Source organism: Homo sapiens, chromosome 12, assembly GCF_000001405.40.
Source record: "Homo sapiens chromosome 12, GRCh38.p14 Primary Assembly".
NCBI lineage: Eukaryota > Metazoa > Chordata > Mammalia > Primates > Hominidae > Homo > Homo sapiens.
In genome coordinates, this window is record NC_000012.12 from 87,786,229 (window position 1) to 87,806,323 (window position 20,095).

A 20,095-nucleotide genomic window follows, 5' to 3' on the forward strand; every position below is an offset into this window, starting at 1 on the left:
CCTCTTTCCTTTATAAATTACACAGTCTCAAGCAATTCTTTATAGCATATGAAAACAGACTAAAACACTAACTCATAGTTGTATTTTGCTAATTTGGCAACTAAAGTATTCTAGTCTTGCAACAGCTTTTCTTTCTTGTTTCATCAAATGGTTTTTGATAAATTTGTACTAAAACCTCTCCTTTTTCTTCTTTTAATTTTACATCTTTTCTGAGTGGCTACTGAGAATTTTATAAATTTTTATAACAAGGTATCTAATAATATTAAATATCTCTTTCTCCTAAATATCATAAAGGTTTTAGTAAACTTTACCCAATCAAATACAACCATTATTTTATGGTTTAAGTTTTATTTTTACTCTTTTTAAGCATAAAATGGTGTATTGTTGTTCATTTAAATTTAAGTAACATACTTCATCATTTTGGGTGATTGTGTTATTACTTTATTACATACCTTGCCTCTGAGTTTTCTTTTCCCATGCTGATGCTAAAATAATCCTTAAACATTCTGTGAAGGTCTAGAGATGGTATACTCTTTTAATATTTACAAGTCTGAAAAGTAACTTTATTTCACCTTCACTCTCAAATAATAATTTAGCTGGGCATATTATTAAGGGGTGATCGCCATTTTTCCTAAACATATTGACTATATATCTTCACTCTTTTTTCAGTCTTATACTGTCCCTGCTGAGAAATTTGATAAATTTTTTACTCCCATACAGGTAATCTGTCACTTTGCTCTCATAGCTTTTAAAATTCTAGAAGGTTACCTTTCCTTTCCCCCACGTGTCTACCATCAACTATAAAAATCAACTATAAAGGGAATTTTGATGGAGGGAAACAGACTACAAGATTCAAACTTTTATACTTGTATTTAATAATAAGATCCAACCTGAGTCAAAACATCCCAATTTACTTAATAAATAATTATGGAGTATTATATTTGCCAGACAAGCAGCTAGGTATAGGATATACTATGTCTGACATGGTTTATCAAGATACATGGAGGCAGAGGCATAGGCACACAGCAATTACATTTTATGGTCCTGAATGGCAAGGTTAGCATACACCATTCGTTTCTTTAATATTGTTTTGTTGAATAATTCTTATCTTCAATTTAAACATTTTTGACTTATTTATATTATGTGATAAGGTTTACCACGAAAGCTCTGACTTAATTTGGCCTAAGAAAAAATTGATGTATGTATGAATAAATCCAAGAGTCCCTGTAACTTATTTATTTATTTTGCAGCTTTATTAAGGTATAATTGACAAATACTATTATAAATATCTATGATATACAACATGATGTTTTGATATGTGTATACACTTTGAAATGATTACCATAATCTTGCTAAACTAACATATCCATCACCTCACATAGTTATCTTTGTTTGTGTGTGTGTGTGTGTGTGTGTGTGTATGTGGTGAAAACATTTAAGATACACTCTTAGCAAATTTCAAGTGTCTAATACACTATTATTAACTATAGTCACCATATTGTACATTAGATCTCTAGAATTTATTCATCCTATCTAACTAATCTTAACTAATTTTGAAACAAAATGTCCCCGTTTCTTCAACTCCCTTGCCCCTGACAACCAACATTCCACTCTGCTTCTATGCTTCCCCACATGTAAGTAAGATCATGCAGTATTTGCCTTTCTTGCCTGGCTTGTTTTACTTAGCATTATGTCCTCTAGAATCACCCACCTTGTCACAAATGTCGGGATTTTTTTCTCTTTTAAGGTTGAATATTATTCCATTATTCATATGTATCACCTTTTCTTTATCTACTTGTTAATGAACACTTAGGTCGTTTCCATATCTTGGCTATTCTTAATAGTGCTGCCATAAACATGGGAGTACAGATATCTCTTTGATGTACAGATTTTATTCCCTTCTGGTATATATACAGTAGTGAAATTGCTGGATTATAGATATGATAGTTCTATTTTTAACATTTTTTTAGAAACCTCCATACTATTTTCTATAATAGCTATAAAAATTAACATTCCTAACAACAATGTACAAGGATTTCTATTTTTTTATATTCTGACCACATATGCTTTTGTCTGTCTTTTTGATAATAGTAATTCTAGCAGATGTGAGGTAAAATCTCATTATGGTTTTTTATTTTCATTTCCCTTATGATTAGTGATATTGAATGTTTTTTCATATACCTGTTGGCCATTTGTATGTCTTCTTTTGAGAAATGTCCAATCAGATTCTTTCTCCAGTTTTTAATTAGATTATTTTTTCTTCTTATTGAGTTGATTGAGTTTCTTATATACCTACTTATTAACCTGTCATCAGATTACAGTTTACAACATGGTTCTTCTTAAATTCTGTAGGTTGTTTCTTTATTCTCTCAATTGCTTCCTTTGTTGTCCAGAAGCTTTTTAGTTTGAGGCAATCTCATTTGTTTATTTTTGCTTTTGTTGTCTGTGCTTTGGGGATTATATTAAAAAATTATGGCACAGACCAATGTCAAGAGGCTTTTTCTTATATTTAAGTCTTTAATCAAATAGCATGGTGCTGACATTTAAAACACACACACATATAGACCAACTAAACAGATTAGAGACCCCAGAAATAAATCCATCTATTTATGATCGATTGATTTTCATTAAAAATGTCAAGAACACACAACAGGGAAAGGACAGTCTCTTCAATAAACTGTGTTGGGAAAACTGGATATCCACATGCAGAAGAATAAAATTGGACCTTTATCTCAAACTACACACAAAAATCAACACAAAATGGATTAAAAACTTAAACATAAGATGTGAAATGTAAGATTCAAAAACTACTAGAGGAAAGTATGCAGCCCGGATCTACTGGGGCAAGCCTGGATCCTAAATTCACTAGAATATGAGGCCTTGGGGGCTGGCCTGGTACCAGGGTTCACTGGGGCAGGTCTGGTGCTGGAGTCCACAGCAAAGTTAGGTGCTCACTTTAATCTTCTTTTCCCACACAAAGGGTATCTCTCTCTCTCTGTCTCCATGCTATACTGCCTGGGCTTAGGGGAGAGGTGACATACATAATGTGATACTATCTTTCCTAATCTCTTAATGCGTCTTATTTCTGTGCTCCATCCAGGTGCTGTAATAGCTCACCTGGATTTCTTAGTTCATGTGAAGGTATTTTTGTGCACAGATAGTTATTCAAATTGATGTTTCTATGAGGGGGCGAGTGCTGGAAGTTCTATCCACCATCTTGCTGACGTCTCCTATGAGGTGATTTTTTTTTTTAAAAAAAAAAAGCTCTCAAACAAACCAGCATTTTCTCTAAAATCATTCTGACTGATTATATTAAACACAGTTTAAGGTGAAGGCCCAGCCCATGAGCCACAGACACATAGAACTGCTCTCATATCTATGGAGCTGGGACCATAGAGCCAAATGATGCTGATGTAGCTCCAATTATCTTAGCCTCAGCTGTGTGTACTTAAGGAGGACATTTGACACAAATGAGGCAAATGAGGTTCTTATCTCCAAATGTGAATTCTAGTCCTAAACACTGCTTATCTCCTACTGCCAATTCTAACTGAAAGCATGTAAACTTGACACCTATGAAGAGGTCACATTTTTCCTTTATACAGAAAAGCAGAGAAAATTGGCCTATAGACACACAGAGAATCAAACATAGGAGATCATACAGCCTCTGAAAGAAAGCCCCAGAAGAAAATACTTGCCTTAGTTACTCTAGGACTTCCAGTAAATTGTCCCAGTCCCTCATCAGGTCAACAAACCATCTTGCCTTTCAGGTTGTGACAGAGCTCTTTAAGATATTTATGTATTTTATGTAATGCAATTTAAGTAGATGTCTGCTATTGTCAATCTGAAGGGGCATAAATATATGCCCATTTAGTCTACATAATTTTTCATAATAAAGTTCATTGATATTATTGATTTCCTAACAGCGCTATAATGCCTTGAGTTTATTCTGTATTTAGAGAACTCCATGCAAATTTCCCAAAGTGCTATATGAAGACACATCACTGAAGAAATATCTTCTACTCTCAGGGACGTTACAGTCTAATAAGTGATTGAATTAAATATGAAGAAAAACAAAATATTTTAAGAAGTATGTAAACTTTTCTCTGTAAGCATCAGCATTCCTAGTGCTCATATTTTCCTAAAAAATTTATTTGCCCAAATTAAATTAAAGATTCTAGCCAACTTAATACATTATTTGTGAGAGCTTTTTTGATGAAGAAGAAAATAAGATACATTTTTGTTAATTCAAAATAATGTCTCCTTTACTCTGAACATCATACTTCTGTCAAAAGCTATTTATTTATATGTACCCTCTTAGTTAGCAATAAGAATAATACCATGAGTAAATTACTTGGCAGACGAAGACTTTGAGACCCAGTAAGGTTAGGTGGGTCTCTAAAATAGGAGACCAAGTATAAAAAAGAAGACTTAAAATATTTTCAAGAAGTCCTTGAGATAATTTTTTCTTCTCTATATTTAAATAATAAAATGAATCACAACACAGAATATGTGGTATCTATTACATAATGTTTCCTCTTTTAAAAGTATGTATATTTTACTAAAACCTCGTGATTTATGACTGCAATAGTATATCAAAATTCACCTAGCAAGGAAGCTTCTAGAAATCACATAGAAGAGTTGCCAAAGCTTAAGCTTAATTTTTAATTTTCAATTTTAAGTTATTTTTGAAAAGTGTAAGTAGGAAAACATGTAAGTTTTTAAAAGCCATAGAATTCCTAAAATGATTAAATAGTATTAGGCCAGCCATTGGCAATAACCAAAGGCAAAGAAAGAGGTATGCTAATAGATTCATAAAGCAAACAGTAAAGTCAAAACATTTTATGAATCAGTATCTCTAGTCTCTACTAAGGAAGTATCAAAGAGTTAGGCTGGCAAAGAAATACAGAGAACAAGTAGATTTCCTAGAAATCTGGAAGCCTAAGACTTGGACAAGAAGAAGCAGGTCAGCCTGAAGGGGATCTTGAAAACAAGAAAAGGCTCCAGCAAAAAGAGAGAGAAACAAAGCAAAGAGCCAGAAGAATAAAAATGGACAGAAGCTGATAGAGCAGGTTTTGCATGAAGCATCTTTTCTCTGCTTATTAGGATCTTCCGAAGAAAAGAGCAAATGGCTTTCAGGCAAAGCTTGAGAAGCCAAAGGTTATTAATTCTCTGCTTTATAAGCTATACTCTCATCCTTTTCTTCAAAGGCCTAACATCTGTGTCACTTTTTTTAAATCTAAAGACTCTACAAATTCTGCAAAGGTGTCCAAACCAACTCATTAAGGATGAAATTATTTTGTGTGAGTAGAACTTCACTGTAGACTATCAAAGTAATGTGAAGGCAAGTGAAAAAAGTGTATACCTAGTGGCTTTTCTTTTTTTCCCATACTGGGGTGAGGAAACTTTTTTCAAATCCACAACCAACTGTGATCTAGCAGCTAATATTTGGTTTACGGTATGGTGGGAGAGATCCATTTTATAGACATTACTGTCTACTATAGGGAATACAGGATTATTTTTCTTCTTAGAAATGTCAGTTTCTCAGCTTCTTGAGGCTGCTTTGAATTCCCTTAGCTTCTGCAGTGATACTGGTGTTGTTTATTCTTCCTTAACAGGGAGGGAAAAGGGCAAGGACACACAATGGTCCCCAAGAGTCCTTGTAATTGTGTCTGCAAACAAAGACCAGTTTGCTCAGTTTCCTCACCTGGGTACCCTCCCACCAGGTCAGCTAGGAGTTAAACTAACTCCAAGCATTGTCCCTCCATATTGCCTTTACCAAAGTCAGACGGTCAGGGACTTGAGATCTCATGAGAATTGCTTCCTCAGATCACTGATATTGACATTAAATAACATATTTGCTCTTTTGAAAAGGGGGAATTTTTTATATTTCTTATTACCATCTGAAGATCTATTCCTAATCTTATACTTGAAAAGGATGTTTATTGTGCCAATTAGTCAGACAAGTTGTGAAGCTAAACATTTACCTTTGGTAATACATGACCTTCTTAAACTGGATTCCATGAGAAAATTAGCTCAGTTGGAGATTATTTGATTGGCTATTTTCTCAGTTTTCCAGTTTCACATACCACCATACCACATGCATAGGAGAAAAGAGAGTTCATGACATATAATAAGTGCATTGGGGCAATAGGGTTTAATTCTCCCACAGAATCCCTTTGGAGAAAGCCTGCATAAAGCCTCAATGTTCACATGATTTTCAAGAACTGTGAAGGACAGGAGATTTTATCCTACTTGCAAGCTAACAAATTCATTTGCCACAGTCATTTAGATGCTGGTATAAGACATGAGACTCCTGGATCAGAGGCATAGGACTTTACTACTCACAGCACAGCACAGCAGGCAGCATTGGTTTCATGTTTACATTGTGATCCTTCGCCCTGTAAGTTTCATGGGGATAATGGGGAGTAGTTCAAATGGGTGTACACGTTCTCTAGGTTCATGTAACTGCTAAAGAACCCTATGGTTCAAAACCCCTAATTTTTGAAAGGGTCTGCTAGCATATCTGCCCAATCTTTTACCCAGAGAAAAATATTGTCTTTACTATCTTGGCTAGGGAAAAATTCAGCCTTCTACTCCAGAGGGAGACAGTATCTCTGTCTTCTGAAGCTATTTGCTATATCAATCTCCTTGCAAAAAAAAAATAGTTCAGAGCAAAAGTCTTCAAGGCATCTTCACAAGACATGCAGAAACTCAAGCAACCCATGGAGAATTGTTGCCCAACAATGATCACCCTCTCAAAATCAAAGGTGTTTCAGTCCCATGGGTATGCTTCCCCCATTCTCTGATAAAAAAAAAAAGCTATATAAAAAGGAGTAACTATGAGTGAATATCAGTCATGGCAAACAGTCACTGTGCAGAAATTGTCTCTTAACTTGAAATAACTGAGAAACAAATTAATCTTGGTAAATCACATAGCAGACATATTCAGGTTGGATATAGATAGTGCACACTCTAAACTATGTGTATTTTTTTAACCTCTTACCAAGAACAGCCACCATACTACATGAATAAATGAGACATGAGATAGCCTTCGTAAGGCTACAGTGTTTAATTTCTTGATTTGGGAGCCTATGACACAGGATTGCAGCTGTGCTAGTCATCAAGCGTCTGAGAATTGTACACAGTTTTGGCAGCCTCTGCAGGCCAGCAGTGAAAGAAATCAAGTAAAATCTCTTGTTCCTAAAGGACCCCTGGCACAAAACTTGTCAGTTACACTGGGAGTCCTCAGAGAGAAATTTATTACAATTTCAGTTTCTGCCATAAAATTTTCTTTGTGGTATTTTCCTTTTTTGGTTAATGAGTGAGATGTCTGAGAGAATTCTGAAGCCTCGGCCATATGTCCCATAGTACAGTGGAAGACACAGGAGTTGACCCTCATCGCTAAAAGAATAAACAAATAAAACTAACACAAAAACTAACATATGAATATAGTCCTTGTATTGAACCCCCAAAAAATTTTTTTTAAAGACTTGAATTAAATCAATCAAAACTGATGAATGAAATTCTCTCATTATAACTTTGTTAACAAATCCATTTAAATGGCAAAAAGCAAACCTCAAATATGTACATATTCGAGAAATATATTTGTTGCTAACAGGCTGAACTACCTCACATATTCTCTTTAGAAAATGACAACATAGAGTCATTAAAAGTATCTCTAGTTAAAAATTAATGTACCTCCTCCAAGCTCCTGATATTGGCTATAATTAAATATCACATAGAAAAACAGCAGTTACTGCCCTTGTGAATCTATTAGTTTGAATCATTTTTTCATTCAGTATAAAATTTAATTGCCAAAATCAAGTTAAAATAACTCAAAGGGAGTATTAAGTTGATTCAGCCAACTCTTTTAAAATAAATATAATTCTATTTCTCTAATATTTAGGATTATCTTTATCATTTTAAAATTACTTCCCTCTTAGAGTTACTGTTTTGCTATCAGAAACATATATAGGTAGATAAAATCCAAAGATAAGTTGTTTTATGTTTACATAAATATATTATTGATAAATTTGTCAAATCTATAATTAAGTCATACCATTCAAATAGTATCAGGAAACAGTTAAGAACTAGAAAATAAATGAAAATGCTATACAGGCAGGTCATATATATCTGACCTAATCTATGCAATAAACCATACATAGCCATACATATGAGCACACACTCATTTTGGTTTATACACACTTCTAACAAATTTAAATATGTGGTTCTCAGGATTGCAAAAAGATGGAAAGATCAAAATAGTAATAGGGAAAATCATATTGCAATGCAGACAAGTGAAAATGAAATAAAATAGGCCAACAAGCACGTGAAAATTTTCTCAACATAATTAGCATCACAGAGAATTACCACATGACCCAACAATCACAATCCTTGCTATATGCTGAAGATAAATGAAAATAGTCCACACGAAACGCTATAAATGAATATTCATGGCAGAATTCTTCATAATAATTGAAAAATGGGAAGAAGCCAAATGCCCCATCAAATGTTGAACAGGTAAATAAAATGGGTACATCAACACAATGGAATATTATTTGGCAATAAAAAGAAACAAAGTACTGATTCATAGTACAATGTGGAAAAACCTTGAAAACATTATGCTATGTGAAAGAATGATGTCATAAAAGCCTACATATTTCTTGATTCCATGTATATAAATGTCTACAACAGGCAAAGCTACAGAGACAGAAAGTGGATTAGTGGTTGCTAAGGAAGGACTAGGGTAGTTGGGAGTAATCCAACTGACTGTTAAAAGGTTAGTACTAAAGATTTTCTTTTGGGGGTGGATAAAGTTGTTTTAAAATTGATTGAGTGTGCTGGACATGGTGACTCGTGCCTTTAATTGCAGCTAGTCAGAAGGCTGAGACCAGAGACTGGCCTAAGCAACAGCAGAGTGAGACCCTATCTCCACACACACACACAAAAAAAAATTGACTGAGGTCATAGTTGTGCATCTTTGTGACTATACTAAGCATCATTGAATTGTACACTTTTTAAGTGGGTGAATTGTATAGTATGTGAATTTATCCCAACAAAGCTGTTGCAAAATAAATAAATAAAAATAGATTACATTACAAACAACAACAAAGGACACCATTAAACTCTCTCTGTCCTTTGTCTAATAGAGTTTCCAAAGGCAGAGCATTTCTTCTGTAATTGTATATTTCTGTTAAAGAAAATAATAATTATTCTTTGTAAAATATTTCTAGCATCCCTTGTACAATTAATGTGATTTTTAAAAACACCACCTTAATCTCTGTAAGTGAATTGAAAAAATCTACACATTTCAAATAAGATATTTATAAATATCTCCTAAATAAAACCATATATACTCTACTTCCCAAGAATGTATAATAGAGTACATTATTAATTATACTGTCCCTCTAGCAATAAAAAACAATGTAAAAAAAGAAAAATGTTTGATGATGGTATCATGCACATTTTTGTAGATTCCATTGTAACTACTTTATTTGCTTCTCTAGGCTCTTCACTGAAAAGAATGCCAAATGCCTCTGGAAGTAATAAAGAGACTGAACTAATCTAAAATTGTTTGAAACACTCAAGTCATTTGGAACCAATATATGTTGTCGTTATCCCATTCCAGTCTATCCTCATTCCTGTCCATCCTCAATTACCGTAAGTAAATGATACAGTGTTAGGAAAACTAGCCCTAGCAATTTCTGTAACACAGTGTGCTTAATATGGTTCCCCATAAGCTCTATCCTTTAAACATTTGTTAACTCAGCTTCCCTAAGTCTTTCTTTTAAGTGATTGAAATGGAGCAGTAGACACAGCTACTGTGTATTAAAATGCACAGTGAAGTATGATTCTTCTTTTACCAATGGTTTGCATTATTTAAGGATTAGAAGCATGGAAAAAATTTGCATATTTTAGAGAATATTAAGTAACGATACATGTTTCTGAATAGATTGTAGATATAGCTGTAGGAAATAGCAACCTAAACCTAATATACACACCTACACACACACACACTCACAGACAGTATGCTCATACACACACACACATACACCGGTTGAAAAGAAGTAAGAATCTCAAAGGATGGGACCACCCCTGAAAACAAACCAGGCTGTTGTTCCCCAGGCTGGAGCACTGAAAGAATCTATGAAGTTTTCAGCCTGAAATAGCTAATGGCACCTGCAAACAGCTTAGAGCCTGAAAACTATCAAGCAGTTGTCTGTGCTCTAAGGATAAGACTCTAAAAAGGAGAATCAAAATCATTTGCTCAGAGAACTTTTCTTTTCATCAGAAGAAAACGACATTAAACAAATAAATACACAATACACCATACAAAATCTCTTAATAGTATGAAGAAATAAAGCAAGGAAAGAGAATGGAGAACAATGAAATGTATGTGTGTGTGTGTGTGTGTGTGTGTGCATATACACACACACTAATGTATATAGGGTGCACAAGAAAGACTACCAGGAAAAGGCATTATCAAAGTAGAAATCTAATTAAAATTAGAGAGTGAGAAATGCAACACTACGGAGGAAAAAGATTGAAGGCAGTGAGGAGTGCAAGTATAGTCTTGTTTTTCCATAAAACATCGATTTTTAATTTTGTAATTAACGTGACATAGCAAAATAAGAATGTTTTTATTTCTAACTTAAATATTTTAGTCAAAGTTGCATCAGAAATCAAATATTTCTTTGACCTTTTCCAAGACTTATTAACTACCATTATAGTTGTTAGTATTATATAGTAACACATTGCTTAAAATACATTATAAACCTTTTTTCTTTCTCTTTATATATGACATATAAAATTATGAATTTTGTAACATGATTCATATTTGAAAACATTTTAAATGGCATGACAACTTTCACAGAAAATGCCACTGGAATCACATAAAACGTTCAAATGCTTGAAATGTTTCAAATTTTTTAAAGTGCCAAGCACAATGCTTGACACATATTAGGTACTGCACTTTGTTCACTCATTCTCTCATTTATTCATGTACTTATTCTAAGAAATTCAGGATTAAGGAGAAATTGTACCATAACAAGAATTACAAGCACAATCTTTTATCAACACTTTGGCATTTTGACAAAGACTTTGGCAATGGAGTGTGGAGAAGATGAGAGGCTGATGATCAAGATTTCAAACTGCTTGGCTAAATTCTACCAAGTAAAGCCCTGGTTAAATACTCATTGCATTTCTAAGTCCAAAGCCTTCATGGCAGAAACAAGATTTGATTTCTTATGTAGAAAGGAAGGGAATTGTCACCAGAATGAAATCAGCAACGGAGAAAGTAGCTGAAGGTGAAATTAGTGAAATATCAAAAAAAAAATGAAGCTATGATTAAGATTTTGTGCTAAGTATAATGACAGAAGAATTTTAACAGCTTTTAGAGGACAACTGATACAAACTGAGCTTCACTTTTAAAAGATTACCCTGGCAATTTTGTGGAGAATAGACTCTAAGACAAGAGTGGAAAAAGGTAGGTCAGTTAGATGATTATCTGGGCACACGAGAAGGATAGCTTGAATTAGGATTCGGAGGTAGGATTGGCAAGAACAATCAGGCTGGGTGTCTATTTTGTATACTGATTCAAAATCATTTATTGATGAATTAGAAGTGGGTAAATGAAATAAATAAGAAATTACACCTTTTCTTCCATGGCTGATTGAGTGAAGGAGGGTGCTGTATACTGAAAAGGAAAAAACAAAGAAGAATGCATTCAAAGAACAGAGTTAATCAATCGTTCTTATTAGCAGACATTCAAGTAACAATGTTGAATAGGCAATTGGATACATGTCTGGGATCCAGAGCAAATGTTAGGATTCAGGACAGTTTTACAGGACATCAGTTCATGGTTGATACCTTTGTTAGGGTATAATCTAAGCTTCTATTACAAAAAGATCTAAAAATATAATGACAGAAGTTAATTTCACTTTCATATAAACATCCAGTGGCAAGGGGCTACCCATGTAACTCTTGAAATTAGCATATGTCTAGTGAGGCTCACTTGATTTGATTCACCAATCCTAGGCAAAGCTGTTGCTATTTTAGAGAGAAGGAAGTTCCTTTCCTGATTTGACCCAGAGTACATCTCTTTGTCTTTGAACCATAACCACTTTTCACATAGTGAGTCCCATTATCAAATTAGGTATCCTGTTGTTACAGCACTTGTGTGTTCAAACTTATACACCTATACAGTGCCAGGCTCTGTGGTAGACTCTGAATATACAATAAATAAAAGAGATTTGGTGCTTGCTTTAGAGAGAATGAAATCTACAAGGGAGACAGAATAACATCAAAAAGTGATTCAGTCTACAGGATAAATGCAATGTTTAATAAAGATACCTAGGGGAGAAATGCCCTTAAGCTCAACTTTCAGGTTTCAGCTTATAGACCCCTACCTGCTGGCTTACAAAATCCTTTGTTTTCCAAATTAAGACCTTCCTATCTATCCTATATCTGGTATTTTCCTTAAGTTCTACATTTCATCATTGAATACCACCCCATTTGGTCCAAGTGAGTTTCTTTCTTTTTCTCAGAATAGATGAAAAATTATCATCTTGTATTGAAGCTTGAACACTTAAGAAGCAAAAGGGTTATATCATAAGAGGCTTACAATCTGTGTAGCAAGCAATGTCTGTAGACTGAATAAATATTGTATCTTGTCTACATTTGGGGCTGAATATCAGCTTCCATAATGACTTATTGGAATATTGTTTGCTAAACACTTTCGTTTTTTTTTTCTCTTTCCAACTTTTATTTTAGGTTCAGAGGGTAAATGTGCAGATTTGTTATGTAAGTAAATTGCATGTCACAGGGGTTTGATGTATAGAGAATTATGTTACCCAGGTAATGAACATAGTACCTGATTGGTAGTTTTTCAATCCTCACCCTCCTCTTACCCTGTACCCTCAAGTAGGCCCCAGTGTCTGCTGTTGCCATGTTTATGTCCATGACTACCCAATGTTTAGCTTCCACTTATAAGTGAGAACATCCTGTATTTGCTTCTCTGTTTCCGTGTTAGTTTGCTAAGGATAATGGCCTCTAGCTCCATCCATGTTGCTGCCAAGGAAATGATTTCATTCTTTTTTGTGGCTGCACAGTATTTCATGGTGTATATGTATCACATTTTCTTTATTCAGTCCACTGAATATTTTGAATATAACCCCTGCCTATACACAGTACTTACAAAATCTATATGAATGCAATTGTAATTGTCACATGGAAGACCATGTTAAAGCATTAATAAATTCACTATAGCTTTTTGATAGCATGTAGTTGTTCAACAAAAGGGTACAAAAATGGCAAGTATTAATTTTCCTGTTTATATTTGTGTTTCTTATAATCTAATTCTTCCCATGGCAGCCAAAGTAAATATATTAAAAATAAATCCAAATCATGCATTCCACTCAGAAAACTCAACTGACTTCCCATTTCATTTTATAACCTGCAAGTTCCCACAAGATTTCTTCTTTTTCCTGCATTCCTCATCTCCTTCTGTTCTTTCTCTTGTTCACATGATTCTAGTCATATTGGACATAATGCAGTTCCTCAAGCTAAGTAAGTTTCAGTCTCTTGCAATCACTGTTCTCTCTAGAATGTTCTTCTCAAAGATATTTAGCTATCTTTCTCCCTCACATTCTCATTACCTTCTCAAATGTACAAGAAAATACTGTTGGAATCTCATCTAGACCCCTTTGACAGACTGCAGCACCATCCTCAGCTGCTGTTGGTGTTGACTGAACAAAACTTACACCTGACCCTCATTTATCCAGACCATTGATCTCAGCCAAAAGAAGGTGCCTTCCCTCTAGGTCATGCCACACCACCTCAGCAAGCAACCAGCTGACACAGGCTACCAAAAGCCCAGAGGCTACTTCAAGAAGGGACGGATTCTGTAGTACTATTGCTGCTCCAGAATTTCCTGTGGTTTACCTGAAAGTCTCCAGCCAATCCCACGTTCTTGCTGATCTTCCACCCAGCTCTCTCCTGTTTGCCTCACTTCCCTTGTGCCCATAGTCCTTTTCCTCAAATAAACCTTTTGAATATGAATGTCCATCCTAGGCTGTACTTCTAGGAAACAGACCTAAGAGTTGCCTTCCTTAACCACCACACACCCAAGAACTCCCTGTCTCTCTTATCTTACTTTACTTTTTACATAGCACTGATTGCCATATTGCATAATATGTTTTTAAAATTTATTTTTGTTTATTCACTTTTTCTTTTGTAAATGCCACGTGGTCAGGGACTTTTTTTGTTTGCTATATTCCCAAGCCTACAAAAGGACTTACTTATTATAGTTAATAAATACACATTGCTGAATGTATGAATAAATGAAATGAGACAATGAATATATTTTATCATTACTTCAAGATGCCTTGGCCAGGCGCAGTGGCTCATGCCTGTAATCCCAGCAATTTGGGAGGCCAAAGTGGGTGGATCACTTGAGGTCAGGAATTCAAGACCAGGCTGGCCAACATGGCGAAACCCCCGTCTCTACTAAAACTATAAAAAATTAGCCAGGCATGGTGTAATCCCAGCTAGGCTGAGCTAGGAGAATCACTTGAACCCAGGAGCAGGAGGTTGAGGTGAACCAAGATCATGCCACTGCACTCCAGCCTGAGTGACTGAGTGAGACTCTGTCTCAAAAAAAAAAAACCCAAAAAACCAAAAGTGATGCCTTCTTCTTGAAAACACTGGGAACCAATGACCTGAATTAATTTCATCTACAGTAGAGAATGACTCTGTTTGGAACCACCATGTGTTCTATGTTCTTTCAAACTACATCAACACTGGAATGCTGTGAGAATTGGTTCATTAGCATGTCCTTCACAAGCCTTCCAGACTTTAAACTCAAAGTCTTTATCTTGCTGTATTTTCATAGTCAAATTTCCCTCTGGATCTCTTAATTAGCCTACGTTTCTTAAATAAAAATTTATTTTTTCAATCAGTACTATTTTAAACTCAAATCTTAAAAGCTCATACTGAAAACAACTAACTGAAAATGTATATATTTTTACAATGAAAGCTATTAAATAAGGAATGCATTACAACTATAGAAGGGCCAGTGTGCACATTACTCATATTTAGTCAGAGACAATTCCTAGAAGGAGTCTAGAGAAGTTTCTGAAAATTGATTTTAAAATAAGGTAATAGTTTATTTTATTACACAGAAATTATTTGGCTGTAAAGCCAGCAAAGAAAAGGAACAGAGCCTACATCAGAGCTTTTACATGAAGGAAATACTGAAATTGGATACGACACATCAAAAATATTTAAATATGAAACTACAGAGACTCTGGCTGAGTTGCAGCCTCTCCAGTTCACATGCTCTCTAACAGAACTCAGTCTTGATGAGTGTTTGCAGAAAATTGTCTTCATTGTCAACCACACTCCACAAAATGATGGCTAATTTGACTTTTACAGATTTAAAAATTTGGAAAGCATTTGAGATTGCCTGCCAACTCCACAGAACTCTTTTCATTAATCAGTAAATAAAGTTTTATTTAATTTTTTCACAAAGAGAACTTTGTGGTCATGAACGCCTGCTGTCTGCTCCATTAAAAATAAAGAAGTCTTCTAAAGAGACTCTCTCAAACATATTCAAATACAGGACTTGGGAAGATATTTCATTCTAATTTAGGAGTACATAATTAATGTATTTCTTTGCAGCTAGCGTTTAATGTCATTGCTTTTATGGCTTATGATGTAGTTTGTTTCTTTTTATTTAACAGAAAGGTCAATGTGACTAATAATTAGAACTATGACTGAGAGAAGAAGACTGTAATTAGACTATTTTTCAGTGAATAATAAAGTGTCAGAAAAAAAGAAAGTGAAACCTTTGTGTCAGCAAAACTGGTTTACATAAGGACAGGAAAAGTGATTCTTTTATATAGATGCACACTTACGTGACCTTCCCATAATCTAACTTATTGATAATTTAATAATTATAAATATACATAAAGAGCATGGTCTAGATATTCAAAATAAAGCAATGGTTCTCAACCAAGAGTGATTTTGCCCATAAGAGATTTGGCCATTTCTGGAAACATTTTTGCTTGTTATGACTGGAGGAGTGCCACTAACTTTTAGAGGGTAAAGTCCAGGAAAGCTGCCAAACATCTTACAATACCCAGGCAGTGCCTCACAACAAAGAATTATCCAGTTGCAATGTCAATAGTGCCGATTTTGAGAAACTCAAAAGTTATAAAACCTTTTGATTTTGAAATTAATGAGTAAGCTTTGAAGTAGTCCAGAGTAATTGGAGCTCTGTGCTGAAATGTCTATCTATTGACATTATATTGTGAGATGCATTTTGTAACCATTGTAGATTAAATGGGAAAAAAAATGAAGGGTGCTATACTACTTATAACTGAGCATTCTGAGACAGTACTGAGATTCAGTACACTTAGATCTCATGTAAATGCCTATTGGGGCTATTCATTTATTGGGTAAGAGGCAGGTTAGAAGCACTCTACCGCAAACTCACTATGTAGCGAGTTTTAGGGGAATAAATAGTTTTGAAGATCTTCATATCTTCATTGATCCAGTGACATAGTCAGTGAGCAAATATTTGTTGAGGGCTTACTCTATGCTGGATACTGTTCATGCTTTGGCCAACATGGTTAACATGATCTCTGCATAGAATTCCCTTTTCTAATACTGGTTTCCTTTAGGAAAATGTTAGTTCTTTCATTCAAAGTTATTGTTTTTGTTTCTTTTGCATTCCTGTAACTATTTTCTGCAAATATTTGGGGCAAATTCAGGGTCATTGTATAAAAATTAAAAACTGATTTAGAGAAGGCTTACTTTTCACTTTTCTGGTTTCCAACACACCAGAAAGGCTGGAAAGCATTTATGCTGACCACCAGATATTTTCTTCCTCTGGAGAGCTCCTGGCTCAAAGACAGGCCAATGTCCCTATTACAGGCTGAATTGTGTCTACCCTATTCCCAAATTTATATGTGGAAGTCCTAATGTCAGAATGTGTACCTCAAAATGTGACTGCATTTGAAGATGGGGTCTTTGAAGAGGCAATTAAGCTTAAATGAGCTCATTGGGCATAGATTCCAATCCAATATTACTGCTGTCCTTATAAGAAGAGGAGATTAAACCACAGAAGCAGGCACAGAGGGAAGACTATGTGAGGACACACGGAGAAGGTGGCCATTTACAAGCAAAAGAAAGAGGGCTATAAAGAAATAATATTGCTGTGCCCTTGATCTCAGACTCTTAGCTTCCAGAATTGTGAGAAAATGACTTACTATTGATTAAGCTACCCAGTCTCTGGTACTGTATTATGGTAGCCTTACAAATAAATAACATTGGATGGGTACTGGATAAGCAGGTACTATGAAATTTTCTGCACTTCCCCCAGCTGAAAGTGTAAGCCTGGACAAGTTATCTAAATTATGTGAATCTCAGATGCTCTATCTGTAAAATGACAGTTAACTCAGTGATTTCATTACTTCTGAAGCTAAATTGCCACATTTTTAAGAAAAAAACAAATAATTAAAAATATTCTTTTACCACGTTTCAAACTTGTTTTTAATATCAAAAAAATGTAAATACATAGTCAAACCTCACCTTTTAGAAGTCAGTAATATCAAAAAATGTAGAGCAAATGACTTGAGGTTAATTACTTTTATAAGCTAACATAGTGGAAGATCTTTGAAAGTTTTACCAGTTTTAGAAGCCAATCATTTATACAGCAAATTATTAAAAATATTATTTTTACTAAGAAACATTGCCTCTGAAAATGTTACATGACCAATGAAAGAGTTGAAATTTCATAAATACTTTGTCAGATAGATTGACATAACTTGATTAAAACACGAAAATCTTTCAGGCATTTATATATCTCTGTTTTTCTTTGTTTAACTGCATCTTAATCTAGGTACTATTTATACAAGCTAAAAACAATTAGGTGAGTAACAGCTAATGAGTTTTCCTCAGCAGGACTTTGAATAACATATTAAAGAAAAGTGTTAAATAAAATGAATCCATAAAAGTAATAGGGTAACCAAAGGGAAGATTGCAAAAGGTGGCAAAAACTAATGGCACTTGAATTACTAGAGAACAATGACAAGGGACTATGTGAAGAACGTAATTGAAGAAAACAAGTATACTTTCAAATTGCCTTGCCCACAATAGCCAACACTCTAGCCATTAGCCTTAAGTATAACGAAAATAAAATATTTATCTGCATAATATTTTATATTTTAGTCATAAAATTAAAACTGAGCATCATATTTCAGATCTTGACTGTATCCAGGGGAGGGGAAACAATATGAAAAAAAAATCAAAAGGAAAAACCATTGGCCCAAAAAAACAAACCATCTGGTGAAGTCATGAATGACTGAGTTGAACAGCAGGGGAGCCTACTGTTAATCATTTTTGCAGGCAATTAAGAATTCTGTAGAGAATATATTAAAGAGTAGTATAAAAAAATACAGTGACCCAAATAAATTGCTTAAAGAAAAAAATCAAAATCAGTTAACAGATATTGTATTACTTTCAACTTGAATAATTTTAAAAATTACCAGGAAAAAACAAGTGTTTGCTTATTGCCATGATGGAGCTATGTCCTCCAAATTTTAAGACTCCTCCTCTTGATTATGTTGTTGATGACATTCCAAGAGAATGGGAAAATTTTCTATGGCCTACACTTAGTAAACACCAAGAGATAATTGTTATTAATGCTTCTTGAAACACAGGATAAAATCTATCCTTAGTTGTAGGCAACAAACTGTTTTGAAACTGAATACAATTAAACGTTCTTTGTAAATTAATCTTTTATGTCGCTAGCTGTCCTCACAAATTCAATCTTTCCTTCTTTTCTTTCTTCTTTGTTTTGTTGTGGTTTTTTAAAACAAAAACAAAAACAAAAAACAACAACAACAAAAAAACACCTTATTTTAGCTTACATGGAATTAGGATACACAACTAAACTACAGATTTGACTTTTCATCCTTCCTAGCAGACATGTGTGGCCAAGGGATTAAGTTTAGGTCAAAGAGGATGTGATCGCAAAAGACATGTGCAAGTACAGTGTCACTGCCTTGAAGATGAAGTTATTCTGAACTTCCTTTCTCCCGCCTCCAATCCATGTGGAAGAGGATCATACCCTACATAATGATGGAACATCAAGCAGAATATTATCCTATTCTAAACATGGATCCATGAATGACTCTCTGAAGTAGACCTATTCTACTGGTCTTGATCTCTCTCCTTTTGTGAAAATATGAGGAAACAGCCTTCAATTTCATGTAAAATAATTATTTTTGGTTCATTTGTTATAAAGATTTATCTTATAGCCTACCTAATATAAAAATTTGATCAGAGATGTGAGATACCTCAATAATAAATACTCAAAATATTTGTCATTGGCTTAACAATTAGGTGGATGAAGAGGAAGAAACAGATATTAAATTGTGAGACACTAATAACCTATTTATTCCACAAAATCAATAGGAAAAGAAATGTGACCTGTGAGAAATTGGAACTCCAGCAACATCTATGCTGATCTTACTGTTCTAGAAAACTGATTGGAAAACTCAGGATATTGGTGAGTGTTTATGGCTCCCTGCTTTTTTTAGAAAAGTCCTTCAGGGTAAAAAAAGCTCAGCTTCAGGGTAAAAAAGAGCTCAGCTTCAGGGTAAAAAAGGCCAGCTTGCAAGAAGAGATTGAAGGAAACAGGGCTTCCTTTATGGACACCTTTTCTGTATGCAGCATTTCATCTACTTTGACTGAGAGATGTGTGGCTTCACAGGACTAGAAAAATCAACTGCTTTTGTGCTTGAAATAGCAGAAGCTAAGTCTATCCTTCAGAGCCTTTCTTAAAATCCTCCCAGTAAGAATTTTTAGTCAAATAATGAGAGCAAACTAGGTTCGAAGTTCAGATTAACTTCCTAGTTAAAGTCTGTATTTTTAGATGACCTCTGTATTAGTCAGGGTTCTCTAGAAGGACAGAAATAGATATATATTTATATGGGAGTTTATTAAGTATTAACTTACAAGATCACAAGGTCCCACAATAGACTGTCTGCAAGCTGAGGAGTGAGGAGAGCCAGTCCAAGTCCCAGAACTG

General features: G+C 34.4%; 1 long non-coding RNA gene across 1 annotated transcript in view; it reads left to right on the top strand.

Moving 5' to 3' along the window:
* The window catches only part of LINC02258 (long intergenic non-protein coding RNA 2258), a 36,938-nt gene extending 17,417 nt beyond the window's left edge, over positions 1-19,521 (top strand). Inside the window, exons 3-4 of the long non-coding RNA NR_149056.1 lie at positions 9,507-9,660; positions 19,480-19,521. This is a non-coding gene — a long non-coding RNA (long intergenic non-protein coding RNA 2258). The remainder of the gene's footprint in view (positions 1-9,506; positions 9,661-19,479) is intronic.
* Positions 19,522-20,095: the final 574 nt, after the last annotated feature.